General features: G+C 39.5%; 2 annotated features.

Annotated features, from left to right (window-relative positions):
• Nucleotides 7,671-7,840: an enhancer, noted in NCBI's record as "active region_3826". NCBI's record gives its function as "activates an Ori minimal core promoter by ATAC-STARR-seq in GM12878 lymphoblastoid cells {active_cell/tissue: GM12878}" and the evidence as "EXISTENCE:reporter gene assay evidence [ECO:0000049][PMID:35858748]".
• Nucleotides 8,351-8,570: an enhancer, noted in NCBI's record as "active region_3825". NCBI's record gives its function as "activates an Ori minimal core promoter by ATAC-STARR-seq in GM12878 lymphoblastoid cells {active_cell/tissue: GM12878}" and the evidence as "EXISTENCE:reporter gene assay evidence [ECO:0000049][PMID:35858748]".

Genomic DNA, 17,603 nt, shown 5'->3' with positions numbered 1-17,603 from the left:
CACAAATTCCCATCTCAGGGCTGGCTTCCTGGGAACTCACCTTAATAACACATTGTTGATACTTACCCTGTTTCAATTACCTTCTGCCCCTGACCACCTTCCTTTATGTAGACAAGTATGGCTCGTCTTCCCATTTAGAGTGTAACCTTCTTTGTATGTCTTAGAGGGCTTAGCACATGTCTTTGTACATAGATGACAGCCCAAAGTATAGGCTGTGAACACCATTCCTCTTCCATCCAGAGAGACCAGTGAGAATTCTGTCAGTGACACACCCCTAATGCATAGAAGGGGAGAGCTCAGGCCCACAAGTGTTTGTGCCAAACCATTTATCTAAAGCTGGTTTTGCTGGGGATGCAGCCAAAACCCTCTCTTATTCTTTGCCAGGAAGTGAAAGTCTTTCATCACCACCTGGGAGGAAAAAGGGGTTCAACGGCCCAGCAGAAACAATGTCACATCGTGAATTTGGTACCAAACTCAGCTCTCAATGCAACGAATTTGAGATTTATTTTAAACGTGTGTTTCTCAGAGAGAATAATTTGATGGGGGTAGGGGGAAGTAGGGACTCACTTTCAACATAGTAATCTTTTTTTATAAAGCTCTGTGAGTAATTGTTTACTTTTTAAAAATAACAAAATCTCATATTCAATATTTTTAAATTGTGGAGGTAATAGTTTATAATTAGGTGCTAAATGGTGTGATTATATTTAACTGAAATGTTTTAACTTGGTGAAAAAGGGCCTAGCTCCTTTCCAAAGCTTCTGAGAGAGCAGATTACTTATTCTCAGCGGAAGTAAACCTATGTACTACTAGTAAATCTCAGCTCTATTAGAAAGGGCAGAAGAGTGTCCAACAGAAAGAACTTCTACTGGAGGAAGAGGTTTGCCTTAGATAACTTAGGAGGAGGGCACAGGGAGAGAAGGGGAAGAGTGCCAGGAAAATCCAAGAGGAGGCTGGCAGCTCTTAGAGGAAAACTAGGTAAATTCCACACATTGGAGTCTCCCAGATCACCAGGGTGTCTTAGTCACTTCAGGATGCTGTAACAAAATTACCAGAGAAGTTTATTTCTCTCCATTCTAGAGTCTGGGAAATCCAACATCAAGGTGCCAGCTGAAAAGTTTCCTGGTGAGGGCACTAGCTCTGGTTTGCAGATGGCCACCTTCTTGCTGTATCCTCACATGGTGGGGAACGAGATCATCTCTCTCGTGTTTCCTCCTTTAAGGGCACTAATCCCGTTCAGGAGGGCTCCACACTCATGTCCTAATTACTCCCAAAGGTATAACTCCAAATACACCTAATCTCAAATGGGGGATTAAGGCAAAAACATGTGAATTTGTGGATGAAACAAACATTCAGCCCAGAGCAATGGATACAAAGCAAAAACAAACAAACAAAAACCCAGTTTGCCTGTTACATGAATACATTGTTACATAAATATTTGTTCTCTGTGTAGAACTTTGGTTCACAACCCTGGCTACACAATAAACTACCTGAGTTTTTAAAATATCAGTGAACAGGCTCCATTGCACACTAATAGAATCTGAATCCCAAAGGGTGGGGGTGGGGGTGAGTATTCATGTTTTTTACAAACTCCATAGTTATCCTCCTGTGCCACCGACCTTGAAAAACCACTGGTTTAGAATATTTGTTGAGCACGGCTGAGATGGATAACTCCAGTTGTCCTCCTTCATGTAAAGCTAAAAAGATAGAGAGGCATAGACTCCTTCCCTACTCTCTATTGATATTTGGGTTTGTTAAATTAAACAACTACTTTTAATTGGTGAGGCATTTTCCTTTATAGTCTGGACAACTCAAACTTGCACCACCAAGCCCTTGCCAGATGGCAGAAAGCAGGGCATTGGAAGGTATTTCCTCCCTGTTGAGTACCAGCTCCACTTCACCAGCCAACCCATGAGACAGTGTTCTACAATGCCACAAAGACAAATAGCCACATGCGTCTCCCATGTACCCGGATACCACCTTGAAGGGAAGGGACAGAACTTTGAAAGATATTACATTTCCTGAAGTTATCAAAGCAGAGAAAACTGAATTATCTGATGGGACAGTTAAAACTATTGGATTGGACTGAAATGGCAAGATGGAACTAAGCTTTAGTTCTTTTCCCACATCCCAGCAAGAAGAAAGTAAATCAGCTCTTCTATAGACAAAATAACAAAGCTCACATTTTCTCTGTATACATAAGGAAAGGTGAGGGATTTTGGACCCTGAAACATGAGTTTATGAATATACACATGCATACATCCATTTGCATGTGCATATGTGGATATGCACATTCACGCACTGTAGACCAAGGCAGAGAAAACTAGGACTTAAGAGTGCAGCCAACAGTGGGCTGCACCTGGCGTGTTCTGGGATTCTGGTGGCAGAGAAGGAATACCGGCTTCTTGGGAGCAAATCCTGACATACAAGTGTGGGAAATGCGGCAAAATGAAACTTGTTGAGCGCTGTTGACAAGACAATTTTTCTGGGAACTAGTGCAGTCATTCAGTGAGCCGGCCAGACAGAGCAGAGTTCATTTCAGATGTTTCTATTGTCCCAGACATGGGAGTTCTACTTGTCACCATTTGGTGTCAGTATTTTCTATCCTAAAAGTCCTCTGGGTTATAAAGCAAAGGCCCTGTTGGAGAAAGTCTGGAGTATTTTACTGTGAATAACTAACTTTATTTCAGAAAATTTTAATATTCCTTTTAGCCTTCACTGCTTTGTTTTCTGCTTTGTAATTGTTTTTCTTTGTGCAGAAAAAAGGCAGCATTCTCTTTATCTGCAAAGGCAAACATCAGAATTACACCATTCATTCATTTGACCAACAAATCTTGAGGACCAGCATCTTGTAACACAAGTCCCTCCACCTACAGAGCTTTTCGGATTCTAGAGGGCAACATGCTCAGGGCAGAGGCAGGTGTTGGAGGCAGCAGTTCTGTAGAAAGAAAAGCTAGCCCTGGCTTTGAGCCTGGTTTTGCCACTTAGCAGCTATGTGGCTGTGGGCAATAAACTTAACCTCTCTGAGCTGCAGTCTCTTCATACATAAAACATACATAATAAACACTTTTCTTCCAATTTTATCATGAAAATTAAAGAAGTTGAGGGATGCCTAGGCAGAGCACAGGGGATGTTTAGGGCAGTGAAGCTACTCTGTATGACACTTATAATGGTCATTATACGTTTACCCAAACCCAAAAGCGAACCCTCCTGTGTAAACTACAGAATTTGGGTGGCAATGATGTATCAGCGTAGGCTCACCGATTCTAACAAATGTACCACTCTGGTGGGGGACGCTGGGAATGGGGGAGGCTATGCATTTGTAAGGGCACAAGGTGTGTGAGATATCTCTTTACCTTCTGCTCAATTTTGCTGTGAACCTAAAACTGCTCTAAAAAATAAGTCTGTTTTTAAAAATTGAATGTGTTACAATGGTATGTTTGTTGCAGAACTATTCACAACAGGAAAGATATGAAATCAACCTAAGTGTTCATCAATGGATGATTGGTTAAAGAAAATGTGATATATATGAAATATACAATGGAGTACTACTCAGCCACGAAAAAAAGAATGAAATTATGTCTCTTGCAGCAACATGGATGGAACTGGAAGCCACTATCTTAAGTGAATAACTCAGACACAGAAAGTCAGATACTGCATGTTCTCACTTACAAGTGGGAGCTAAATCTTGTGTACACATGGACCTAAAGAGTGGAATAATAGACATTGGATACTTGGAAGGGTGTGGGACAGAGGGGGAGATATTATAAAATTACTGAATGAGTACAATATATACTATTCAGGTAATGGCTACACTAAAAGCCTGGACTTTTTATAACTATTATATCCATGTAACAAAACAACACTTACACCCCCTAAATCTATAGGAAAATTTAAATATTAAAAATGGAAAATGTTACTTGCATTCATAGGTACATATTAAATAGCTGTTTAATGTGTAGATAGAGGCTGCTCTGGTTGTGTAGTCTTCCAGCTCTGGACTGTGCCAATAGCATGGGGTTTGGAGTCAAATCCAAGTTCTATCATTTACACTTGATGGCATTTTGATGACAGATAATTTGCTTAAATCCTCTATATGTGCATTTAAATTTGTATAGCTATTGCCAATCTGCAAATTGCTCTCCATTGACAATGTACCAGTTTACACTCAGATTACACACCGGAGAGGTGATGGGCCCGTTGTCTCACGCTCATCACACATGGTGTACTCTCAAACTTTGGGTTGCTTGCAAATATGAAATGTAGAAGAAGCTATCCCAGTGGAGTTTTCATTTGCTTTTTCTTCAATATGAGTGAGGTTGTGCATCTTTTCATCTATTTAAGGGCTACGAGTATTTCTATAAACCATCCTTTCTATCTTTTGCTTATGTTTTATTGGGTGTGTGTGTTTCCTTATTTATTTGTGTGATTTGCTTATATATGACAAAATTAGTCTTCTTCCTGAGTATAGGTTTCAAATACTTCCCCCGATTTGTTTTCTGACTTCTGACTTGGTTAATGGTGGTGACTTTTAAACATGCAGATCTTTTAAATGTAGTCAAATATATCAATCTTATTCTTTATGGCTTCTCTGTTTGTGTCATACTTAGCCCTTTCCCACTCAGAGATTCTAAACCCTAAGCAGCAGCGGGTGGGATGGGGTGGAGTGGGATGGTGAGGGATGGGAATGATGTTCTCTTCTAGGTTTTTTAGGGATTTATTTTCACATTTAAATCTTTAATCCACTGGAATTTATTTTTGTGTAACAAGTGAGGTATTGGATCCAAGTTTCTCTTCCCCCAAGTAGCTTCCTACTTGTCCTAGATTCTTTTATTAAATAATCCATATTTTCTCCACTTATTTAAAACCTAGTTAACTTTTGAAAGAATACACGAAGGTCCATGACTTCTAAATTTGGCAGCAGGAGGAGGTCTAAGCTGCAGAATGTTAGATGAGGCTCTTAGCTCTTTCTGAATTGTATCTGTTGTTATTTGGAAAAAGAAGAAATAAAAGTGCATTGATCTGAAAATTTAATTCAACAAATAGCTGTGTGGGAGAGTGGAAACAACACAGGCTCTTAAGTTAGAAAACCTGACTTCACTTCTCATATTGACTAATTGTGGGGAAGTCATGCAACTGCTGTGTGCCTCAGCTTTCGCCTCTGTAAAAATGGACCTAATAATGGCATCTATGCCATAATATGCTGTGCAGTTAAAGTGCATTGGTGCTTTATAAACTGTACAGGACTACAGGCACATGAGCTGTTATCTGAATTTTTACAAGGTGGTACAGCATTGCCAGTTAACTTATACAACACAATTCTATATTTGTGAATGTTTCACCATTCTTGAAATCCTTTCAGCTTCTTTGAAGATGATTAGCTTCTTTCTCCTTGCTGGGGAGTATTCTGGGTTTGCTATTTTTAGTTTGCTTAAATGTGTTTTCTGACAGCTTCTGAGTGGCAGTGGGGGGTTGGTAGGAAAGGAAGAGGTGACCGGGAAGTTAGAATCATCCACTGGGTTTCGAGGGAGAGGGAGCTGAGGCCGCACCTGGAAGAATGATCTGGAAGGAGGTAGAAAATAGGAAACCATAGGGAGAGTGAATTAGCTTATTTAGAATCTTGTATATATAATGATTATCTAGTTAAACTTTTGTTTTATAATTTATAGCAAAGTTTTGTGGACAGTACAGAAGAATGGTGAGAGTCAGTTAATGCAGTGATCGAATCACAATCCCTCTTCTTATTAATAGTTATTTAACCTCTCCAAAGCCTTTTTCTCATCTGTGCCCAAGGGATTATAAAGATTGAATGAGACAACATTCATTTCTCATGCTTATGTGACTCTAGATAGGAGGTTGGAGTGGGCAATTGAGAACAAAGTGTAAATTCATGATGGTGACTTGTGTTTGCCCTTGGGAGATGCAGTAGAAATTGTCTGCAATCGAGAGGTGCAACTGGAATCTGGACACTCACTCTTCCCCATCCCATAGACAAATGCTCTACCTCACTTCAAAGGCAACAGAAGCCTAGGAGGAAGAAGATGCCTCTAATACCCTGTCAAGTTTGCAAGAAAGGACATGGGATGATGACTCCATTATCACAGGGGAAGGAAAAATGTCCAGGTGACAAGGGGTGGGGACAATGAGTGGGGGCTTAAGGGGGAGGGGGCATCCATGGGACCAGCAGAAGGATTGGGAGAAAGTGAAAACAGATATGGGTCACTAATTGAAGAAAAATGTGACTGTGATTTAATTTGTTGGAACCAGAAAAACCTGCTCTTCAGAGTTCTCTTCTGCAAGCCTGGCCTTATCAATACATCAATCTGGTCATCCATCCATCACATGGTGGCTGCTGTCAATCATGGTTCCCTGCGCTGGAGCCCTCCACACGCAGTATTACAAATGCTCCCAGCCCTGAGGGAAAGGTGGCTCTAAAATTCCTTTTCTGTCGAGCACATTTTGCGTATGCTTATTAAGTTTTAAAAATTTGGAAACAAGTTACCCAAAACATCCCACTCATCAGTTGGTCCTGGTGCTGTAACGAATTACAACAATATTTTCTCTCTGTCAATGATGGTAAGTGAATTCTCAAGAAGTATACTGGAAACCAGCACAGGATACTTTGGCCTTTTTGATGGGGGTCACGTGATTTAATTTTCATGGTGAATTTTGGTTAATTCTATACTAGTCTAGAGAATTGTACGTGTGTCCGTGTGTGTGTGCTCTCATGAATAAAAACCCACCCACAGAGCCCGCTCCATGGACCTGGACCTGTGCAGTCACAGAGGGCCCTACATTCAGAAGACTCTCACCTTGTCTCACAATTTGAAGAAGGGGACTCACATCTTCATTTTGCACTGGATCTCACAACATACATAGCCAGTCCTGCTCTCCATGAAATATTGGACTTTGTTCAAAAACACAAGCAAGTTTTTATGTTTTAATTTAATTTAATTAATTAATTTATTTAGAGATGAAGTTTCGCTGTGGAGTGCAGTGGCCTGATCTCGGCTCACTGCAACCTCTGCCTCCTGGGTTCAAGTGATTCTCCTGCCTCAGCCTCCCGAGTAGCTGGGATTACAGGCGCCTGCCACCAGGCCCGGCTTATTTTTTGTATTTTTAGTAAAGATGTGGTTTCATCATGTTGGCCAGGCTGGTCTCGAACTCCCAACCTCAGGTGATCCACCCACCTCGGCCTCCCAAAGTGCTGGGATTACAGGCGTGAGCCACCATGCCTGGCCACAAGCAAGTTTTAAAAAATTTGATAGTTATCAGTATTATTAAAATACCTACCATTCAGGGATATAGAAAAATCATATACCAATGCATACAGGGAAAAATGCTTCATCATGCCAGTATACACAAACATCATGAATCTTGAAAGAACAGCAGTAAAGAAATGGTTTTGTTTTGAAAGGATAAAAAAAACTATAGTTAATTTTTTTTGTTTGGGAGTATTAATTCTCACTATATCATATCCTGCTGTTAGAGGAAGTGAGAGAGAAACGAAAAGACTGAGAACAGAAGATCAGTCAAGGGTATAGAAAAGAAACAGAGAGGAATCAAGGAGTGGGAGATTGAAATGAATCAAGCACTAAGCCCTGTCGTCTTCTTTTGATGCAAAAAAGCAATTTGCATGGTCACTCCTTCTGATGGGGTCACCCTGATACTGATTTATCGGGGACACAGTTTATGTACTATCTTCACAGCATGCTTTTAAAATTTTTGTTCATCTGGGCTTGCTTTGAAAGAGACTAGAAACCTCATCGTGGAGATCTCTTTGGGTCGCTGGACTCAAAGTAAAACCAAGCTGTGCAGGAGGTTTTGATCTTTGAACTTTCCCTATGGTTGCAGGCTTGCCTTAATCTGTAATAATAAAGTTTTAAAAATAAGTTAACCTCTTTTCTTATATGGTGCAAATATATCTTTCTCCACTAAAGTTTCAGTGTTGCTTTTCTTTTGTGGCCCCTGCCATTTCTTTCACCTTTTCTTTTAAACAGATACATGTTCACTAAAAAAAAACGACTCTGTTGCTTTAAGAAGAAAAAAGTTACACTCGGTCAGTCTGAAAATGCAACACCTGGCGCCCATATTTAGAAATGTTAAAACACACACACATACATACACACACACATTAGCCTTTGGCACTGAACTGTGCAAAACATTACAGGAAGCTCATTGCTTAAGGGCAGTTGAGTTTAATCATTTATTTGTAAGTCAGTTGTTTGGTACTTAAAAGCACTTTTTCCCATAGAAGCAAAGCTATAAATGGTGTTTTGGTCCCCAGGCTCAAAAGACTGTTGGAGAAACGTCTGCCCTGGAGATGAAAATAGAAAATGATTCTGTGCTGATACAGTAATTGAGCCAAAAAGAAAAGCTAACAAAGCAAGGAATGGTTGGCCTTGAATGCTTATACTGGAAGAGGAATGGATTTCACCTGATGTTGTGGTGGAGGCAGCTGGGGATTTCCAAGGTGCCTGTGGGTCCTTCCAATGGCCCAGGCTCTTTGCGTGTTCAGTTTAAAGCCTGGGCATGTTCTTCATCCTCCACACCAGTCTGCATTCAGCAGTGCTTTTGTGTCGCTCCCATGTTTGGGTTCTATTTTGGCTCAGAATGGTAAAGAGAGTGAGAGAGGAAGGGAAATCTTTCTAGGGTGTCTAGGGTGTTGGAAAAAGGGTGGAGTAAAGGAACCCAGGTGACCTTGTGGTACCTTAGCTCTCTGTGTTCCTTTGGAATGGAACATCTTCTCTGTGCTCCTCTAGCCACACAGGAAACCTATTTGGATGTAAAGGTCCAGCTCACGTATGTCCTCTTCTCTGGGAGTCTGTCCCTAATTTTCTGAACTTCCCCAGTGCAGCTTTTCCATATGTCTGTGAAAGCACACTTTACATCATTTGGTTATTATTTATTTGTATATGTCTCCTCCATTTGACTAGGAACCCCTCAAAAGGAAGAAATAAATTCATTTTTTAAAAAATCTCAGGAACCTACACAACCTATAAATGCATGCTCCATTCATCTAAGTTGGAGCCAAGCTGTGAGCATTAAAAAAAAACAGGCCTGAGGGAGAAGACAGCGGGGACATCATCCCACCAAAAAGAGAGGTTGGGGGTTATGGGGAAGAGATCTGCACCAGAACCTGCCCATCTCACCCCATTTACCAGAGCTTCATTGGTCCAGAACCACATGCCTCTTATCAATGAGGAATGAAAGAAGGAGCCCTTGAGACCATGTGTAAGCTACTGCTTGACAACTATGGTGGATATACTTTGACGTTTCCCCAGCAGCCATTTTTCCCTTCTTCCAGTGACATCTCCTGATAGTCATGGAGTGATCACCCTATATATATAGGCTTGGGTGTGTACTAACCTAGCTCTAGGATGGAGGATAGGGTATTACTTTCCCTCTGGCTTTGGTGTTTGGCTCAGAGATGGAAAGACAGACAAAATATCCAATCAGGGTGAATCTCATTACTTTTGAGGGTGCCATCTTTATCCTGCTGTACTTGAACCTGAGGGGCTGTGAGTCCGGGGCAGCTGGAATGGTGGTGGTGAATATTTAACAACTGGCTCTCGAAAAACAACTCTGATTTGTAGCATTTGCCAATTCGTGTGGTGGAAACACTTCCGTCATGCTGATTTCAAGCTCTAACATAATGTTGCTGACCATCATAGTATTTCCATTGTAGACGTAAGTACAATAGATGAAACTCACCTCAAGAGCATAGAAAATATAAAATGTAAAATAGGAAGACATGAATTTTGAGTATTTATAACATTTTAAAAATATAATTTATTGAATTATAATCTTATATAATTTATTTTTTTCAAATAATGGCTGTGTTAACAATAGATTCACAAACTTTCTGAAAATTTAACAATTTTCTCTGAATAGTTGATATGAGCTAGATCCAGCAGCACACTGAGCCAGAGCCAGCTGGCCACCTTTAAGGAATAAATTAGCTACGACTCACACAGAGTGAAAAAAAATGGTCCTAGCCATAGTGTTTGGTTCCTAAACTCTGCAGCCTGCTCAGATGCAGCACATTTGGATATACCAACAATTTCCTTTTTTTAAATCCAGCCTGAGTTGGGCTGTTACTTGCAGTTAAAAGAGTCCTAAATGAAACACAAATATTTTTTATATGTTTGACATTTGTAAGTAAAACTACCATCTTACAGTATATAGCAGGTTTGATGCAGGACAGGCAAGCCCTCAAATTGGGGCTTAGCCTGGGAGCCTTCTTGGCGTCACCTAGGAAAGAATTCAAGGGTGAGCCAGTGGTGTTAAACTGCAACTTTTATTGAAGCAGCGGTGTACAGCAGCAGCAGAGGTTCTACGCCATAGGCAGTGTGCCCAGAGCATCAGCTCAGAGATAGTGCAGCATTCATATTTATGCCCACTTTTAGGCGTGGTTTATGCAGAAATTTCTAGGATGAGGATGGTAACTTCCAGGTTGTCGGGTCATTGCCATGGAAAGGGGCAGTAACCTTTGAGTGTTGCCATGGCAACTGTAAACTGACACAGCACACTGTTGGGCGTGCCTTAGCGGGAGGTGCTTCTGCCACGCACCTGTTTTAGCTAGTCCCTCAATTTGGTCTGGTGTCAGAGCACCGCCTCCAGAGTCCAGTCCCACTTCCTACCCCAGGTTGAATGATAGTCCTCCAAAAGATAAGTCTACTGCCTAACACTTAGAACCTGTGAATGTGACATTTTTTGGAAAGCGAGTATTTGCAGATTTGATTATATTAAGGATGCCAATTTGAGATTATCCTGGATTAAGTGGGTGGGCCCTAAATTCAGTAACAAGTGTCCTGATAAGCAACACAGAGGAGAGACTTGGAGAGAAGTGAGAAGACCATGTGAAGACAGAGGCAGGGATTTGAGGTATACAGCCACAAGCCAAGGAGTGGCTGGAGCCACAAGGAGCTGGAAGAGACAAAGAAGGATTCTTCTCCAGAGCCTTTGGAGGAAGCATGGCCCTACTGACACCTTGATTTCAGACTTCTGGTCTCCAGAACTGTGAGACAATAAATTTCTGTTTTTTTAAGTCACCATATCTGTGGTCATTTGTTATGGCAGCTGTAAGGAACTTATACAAAGCAGTTATATTTTACCTGTACACAAAGTATGTTTCCAATTTTTACTGTAATTTAAAAATAAATCCAAAGATCTTAAGATTTTAAGATTCTTTAAATTTAGGAACATTTTTTAAGTGGATATGATAATCACCCAGAGAGAATCACACTTAGACTTAATGTATCAGTGTGTTTTCCTTTGTGTTTGTGTGCGAGATTATAAAACCTGAATCAAACTATATGGACAGTTTCAGGCCCTGCCCTTTTTTTTTTTTTTTTTTTTGGTCCATTGTAAAGATTTTCCTATATGGTTATAGATTATTTGAAAACACTGTTTTTAATGGCTGCAGAGCATTCCACTTACGGCTATATCATAATTTATGAAGTTATTATATTATTGTTGAATGTTTACATCGTTTCTAATTCTATACTGGTATAAATAATTCTACACTTAGGAAAAATTAATAAAATTTTATATTTTTCTTTTAAGCATATGAACATTTTAAGAATCCTGATACCTAGAACCAAACTGCCTTCTAGGAAGTTTCTATCAATTTGTTGTCCTGTCAGTGGCAAGAGCACCCATTTAACAATGCCTTTGCCAAACCTGAATTTTATAACTTTTTAAAAGCTTACTTTGGTAGGTTAAAAAATCAGTGGTATTTTATACTTGGTTTAATTTGTGTTTCTTTGGTTTAGTGGGATTGTGAGCTAGTTTATATTTTTATCAGCCATCTGGATCTCTTCTCTTGTGAATTAACCTTTTGTGTTCTTTGCTCATTTTTCTATTGGAATATTAGCCAGTTACTTATTGATTTGAAAGACAGTAATGTTATAGAATATCTAAAAAGATTTCTTCATAAAAAGTGGCTTTCTATAAATATTTGTTACACTTTATATACCGGGTCTTCTCATTTGTAAAAAAGCAGAACGTTGAAATCACACAGATTGGCAGTCGTGGTCTGGAAGGATGGTAGTGACGCATTCAATTCCCTCGCTCCAGCTCCACATACATTCTTTGATATTTCCAGTCTGTCCAGTCTTTGGTTTGCCATTTCTTAAGAAGGAATTTGAATTATTCCACTCAGATAATCTCAGGTTGGAGATCTGAGAATTTCCTTACGCCATTTCATCCTAGAGGCCCAAATTATTTGGCTAAATAATTAATAGAAAACATGTACAAAATTTTTTTTCATGAGAAATTTGCTTCCTTGTACTGATTCAACATATCTTGACCACAGACATTGTTGTTTTTACACATACACACACAAAAAACATTATACATGGGTCAGGAGTAAGGAGATCTTAGTTCTTTCTGCTCCTGTTTTTTTCTGGCTTGGGGTTTTTCTCTAAAATGGACTTTTGCAAGTCAGTTCACTCTCTGGGCCTTGGTTTTCTCCTCGTGGATTTCCCAGATGAAGGACAGGACATTATGCAATATTTGGGATGTGCTTTTACTGAAAAAGCATTGTTTATCTAAAGTGTAACTAGGCATCCTGTATTCTTATTTGCTAAATCTGGCAGCTTTCTCTTGAAGGCCTATTCCAGATCTGTCAAATTATGACTGAATGCTGAGCATAATGTAGTCCAATATCACAGCACTTTGAAGCCGAGGGAATCTGGGTCCCATACTGCAGGGGATACCATCGTCCAATGGAGACTGTTCCAGGGATGATAGTAAAGGAAATGCTGATGAAGCCTGGAGAGTCCAGGGATCCGTTTGGAAAGTTAGGGGACTAGAAGTAGAGTTTGGAGGTAGGTAAGACGTGCAAGTGGAGTCAGAAAGACAATATGAAAGAGACCGTAGTACTGGCGTTAATGACAGATGGTGAGTTCTAGGAGATGGAAGTTTGATTCCTTACTCTTCTCTTTGGACAGTCTGACAAATACATTTCTGCTGGACTGTCCGCTCTGAGTACTTAGCAGTGACTTCCTGAACACGTTTTGAAAAGGACTCTTAGTTTATGACCAGGCTCAGTTGAAAGAAATACTGTGATTGGAAAGCAGGGCTTCCATGGCCATGTAGTTCCCCATTCGGCATAGGTAAACTATTAGAATTTCAATGATTTTCAACATCAATTCAGTTCCTGAGTTTGAAAAGTAGTTGCATCTCACAAGTATTTTTTTGTTGATGTCTTTTAATAACTTCCACATTTAATTCAGAACATATTTATTCTATACAAAGAATGGTCTAGTTTTGTGCTTGCCACAGAGAAAGACCAAAGAAATAGAATATAGTCGTTTCGCGGGGATGTTTATAATTTTATCATGGTAACAGGATATATACTTATGAAAAATAAGTCAAAACTATGCTCAAAAGACAGGGAGATAGAGGAGATCAGAGTAGAGGCCCAAGTGGACTAGAAGGAAATAGGAATAGCTTCCAAAAGAAAGTGGGCCTTGATGGTGAGTGAGATTTGGACAGGCCACGAGAAATAAGAAAATGGTCAAGATTGGCACAATATTTGGGAGATGAGATGACTATGACAGGAGGGCCCCAGCCAGGATTCTTCCTTGATGGAAAGAGCACTGATGAGGAGGCCTGGGGCACCAGGCAGTTCCAATATCCCAGATGGCTCTCTGGAAAGGGTTGAAGGTTAGAGACATTTCAAGTCCTGCCATTTTTAAAACTCTTACATGAAAATTTCAAATATGTAGCAAAGTTGAAAGACTGGTACAATGAATACCCATACACTCATCACCCAACTTTGATCATTGCTAACATTTTTTTGAACCATTTGAAAATTAGTTGTAGACATCATGACACTTAAACCTTACATTCATCAGTGTGCACCTCCCAAAAGTATCCGAATAAGGATCTTCCTCTACATTACCATGGTACCATTACCATACCTAAGAACATTAACAATTCCCTAATACCATCTAGCATTCTTGGTCTTCTAACATTAAGAAGACCAAGTGGTAGTCTTGTAGAATTTCTACATCTGGATTTTTAAATTATTATAACTGTTTTCTCTTAATGCTGTTCAACGTGTTCCTGTATCCCCTTTATTTCCTATAAACCTAGCAGGATCTCACATTCCAGTTTGCCTAGGAATGTCCTCTCTGTTTACACCTGCAGTCCTGCTATAATTGTTGGTTGAGTCTTCTTTCACTCCCAGAGATGCCCTACTTTGGATGATTCATTATATGTTCATTCTGTATAAGCTGGAAGCTAGATTTAAAAGTTGATTAAATTGAGATATTTCATAGGTGAGATGTACTTCATTTTGCATCAGGAAGCAATATGGATAATGCTGAATTTGATTACGTGAGTACCAGTCAGCTGTCAACTCTGTAAAGGTCAGCTTTGCAATCAGCCAGCAGCCTCGGGCATGGGACTTTGATACCTTGTGATGTCATAAGGATATGATGCTCCCCAACAACATTTTACCTACTGGTTTTAGCATTAATTGATGATCCTTGCCTAAATAAATTCTTCATTTGGGGTTGCAAAATGGTAGTTTTCTAATTCTATCATTCATTCTACATTTATTAGCTAGCATTCTGTGAAAATTGAGGATTTTTAATTTCTCCTAAAAACATCAGGAAAATTGCTTTATTATTCTTTAATTTCCAGCTGATTTAATTTTTTACATTTTCAATTAAAAAGCTGACGGAATAGTTACCTTCAGTGTTGGCAAATGACTTTGTTTTTTGGTTATGTTTTTATGGACTGGTGGATTTTTATTTTTTCCATGTTTTAAAATAAATTACAGTCATTTTTTATAAATGCTCAAATTGTCCCAAAATTGTCTACTGGACCCTCTTTCAAGGATCTGCTCCTATGTGCCTCTTTCAAAGATCTGCACCACATTAGCTGGGCATGGTGGTGCGTGCCTGTGGTCCCAGCTACTCAGGTGCTGAGGTGGGAGGATTGCTTGAGCCCAGGAGATTGAGACTGAGGCTGCAGTGAGTCATGATGGCGCCACTGCACTCCAGCCAGAGTGACAAGTGAGAACTTGTCTTAAAAAAAAATCCAGGGAATCTATCTAATTCCTATCACTTCTCCACTATTTCCAACTCCTTTTCCCTCCCATGGGTGACTACTTTTATGGCACAAGGTAGTCCAGGTTCTCCTTCTATTTTCCCTGAAATCAACCCTTTCTTCAATGAGAACCTGGTTCCTTTTAGTGGAGAATCCTTTTCTTACTATATTTGTAATTGAACATATTTGATGTATGTAAAATTTGGACCGTCATTACTTCTATGACTTTTCAGTGTCTAGTGCTAGAAAAATCATAAGTTCAGATTGATATTTTCCATTAAATTTGAAATTACCACATTTTTTCTTTGATTTTATATTTTTACTTTTTTCTCCTATACCAAAAATCTTCATTCCTACTAATTTTTCATACCATATACAAAATTTCACTTCAAACAGCAAAACCCATAGTTTTACTACTAAAAATAAAAATACTGAGTAAAGTTCAAGATTTCTTTGCAGTTATTTTTATTCTTAGAATAAGTTTCACAGAGAATGCTCAGAGGACTGTGTTCAAGAGTCACTTGAAATAATTCTCTCCTCTGTGATATGTTACCATCTAAATTCATTTTTGTCTTTAAGATTTGCCTTTTTTTCTTTGCCTTAATTTTTTTTTTTTTGTTTATGTCAAACGGTTACCTAGTTTAAAAGACAAAACTTAATAAAAAGATAGATCCAGGCAGGGCACGGTGGCTCATGCCTGTAATCACACCTTTGGGAGGCCAAGGCGGGCAGATCACTTGAGCCCAGGAATTTGAGACCAGCCTGGGCAGTGTGGTGAGACCCAATCTCTACAAAAATCACAAACTAGTAGCTGGGCATGGTGGTGTCTGCCTGTGGTCCCAGCTACTCGGGCACTGAGGTAGGAAGATCACTTGAACCCAGGAGGTTGAGGCTGCTGTGAGCCTGATGCACTCCAGCCAGAGTGACAAATGAGACTCTGTCTCAAAAAAAAAAAAAAAAAGATAGATCCAGAGAATCTATCTAATCCCTATCACGTCCCCACTATTTCCAGCTCCCTTCTGCCTCCCATGAGTGACTACTTTCATTAGCTTCTGATTTACCCTTCCGGTGTTTATTGTTGCAATAACAAGTGCCTGTGTATGTGTGTGTGTGAATACACAAAATGTATTCAACCAGTCTCCCATTGCTAGACATTTAGGTGTTTCTGATCTTTTGCTATTGCCAATAAAACTGCAATAAATGTGTGCAGATGTTGCATATGTAGGTGTATCTTCAGGATAGGTTCCTAGAATTGAGGTTGCTTGGGTCATAAGGTAAATTCAAGTAATTTTATTAGGTATTGCTGATGTAGGACAGACAAGCCCAAAATCGGGGCTTAGCTCCAGAGGGTCCTTGGCTTTGTCCAGGAAAGAATTCAAGGGCCAGCAATAGTGTTAAACAGCAACTTGTATTGAAGCGGCAGCCTACAGCAGCAGCAGAAGCACTGCTCCTTGCAGAGCAGGACTACTTATAGACGGTGTGCACAGAGTAGCGGCTGAGAGGCAGAGCTACACTCATATTTATATCCACTTTTAATTAGATGCAAATTAAGGGGTAGTTTAATGCAGAAATTTCTAGGAAAAGGGTGGTAACTTCCAGGTTGTCAGGTCATTGCCAGAGAAAAGGGTGGTAACTTCTGGGTGTTGCCATGGCAATGGTAAACTGACATGGGAGGTGCTTCCAGCCTGACTTGTTTTATACAGTCCTCAATTTGGTCTGGTGTCCAAGCCCCACCTCCTACCTCATTGCCAAATCCCCTCCTAGGGGAGTACAACATTTTGCAAGCAAAGGGTGTCTTTTCCTCACAGCCTTAACAACAGCATCATCAGACTTTTAGATTTTTGCTTATCTGAAATATTTCTTCAGCATGATTATAATAATCTTTCTCTTAATAGGAGTGTGGTTAAGCATACTTTTCATCCATTTAAAGGCCTCCTGCCTTTCATGTTCATGGTTTTGCCCACTTTTTGTCTAGTTGGTTTTTTTTTTTTTTTATCTCAAAGTTTAGGATCTCTACCTATTAAGGAGATATTAGCCTTTGGTTCTGTGATATATGATGCAACTCTTGACTCCCAATTTATCTTTTATCTTTTGATACTGCTTATGGTGTTTTTTGCTATGAAAAAATTTTTATGTTTCTCAGGTTAAATTTATTAAGATTTTCTTTTATTAGTTCTAGATTTTAAATCATAGATAAGTTTATAAAGAAATTTAACTGTGTTTTCTTCAGGTATATTATGGCTTCATGTTTTACATTTAGATTTTTGATCCATTGGGAGTTCACTCTTGCAAATGATTTGAGGTATGAATCTAAGTTTTGTACTTTTCCCAATGGCTGTGCAATTGTACTGTTTATTGAAAAGCCTATTTTTCCCCATTAGATATGCCACATTCATAATATACTTAATTTGCTTATAATCTTCTATTTATCTACATATTTTCTCATTACTTCCATTGGTCATGCAGCAATACCACGCTGTTTTTATTAGAGAGGCTTCATACTGTACTTTAATGTCTAGGAAGGCTAGTCCCTTCCCATT

This window comes from Homo sapiens, chromosome 10 (genome assembly GCF_000001405.40).
Source record: "Homo sapiens chromosome 10, GRCh38.p14 Primary Assembly".
NCBI classification, from domain to species: Eukaryota; Metazoa; Chordata; class Mammalia; order Primates; family Hominidae; genus Homo; species Homo sapiens.
The sequence above is the reverse complement of the archived record's forward strand: the minus strand, read 5'-3'. Positions and strand labels throughout refer to the sequence as shown.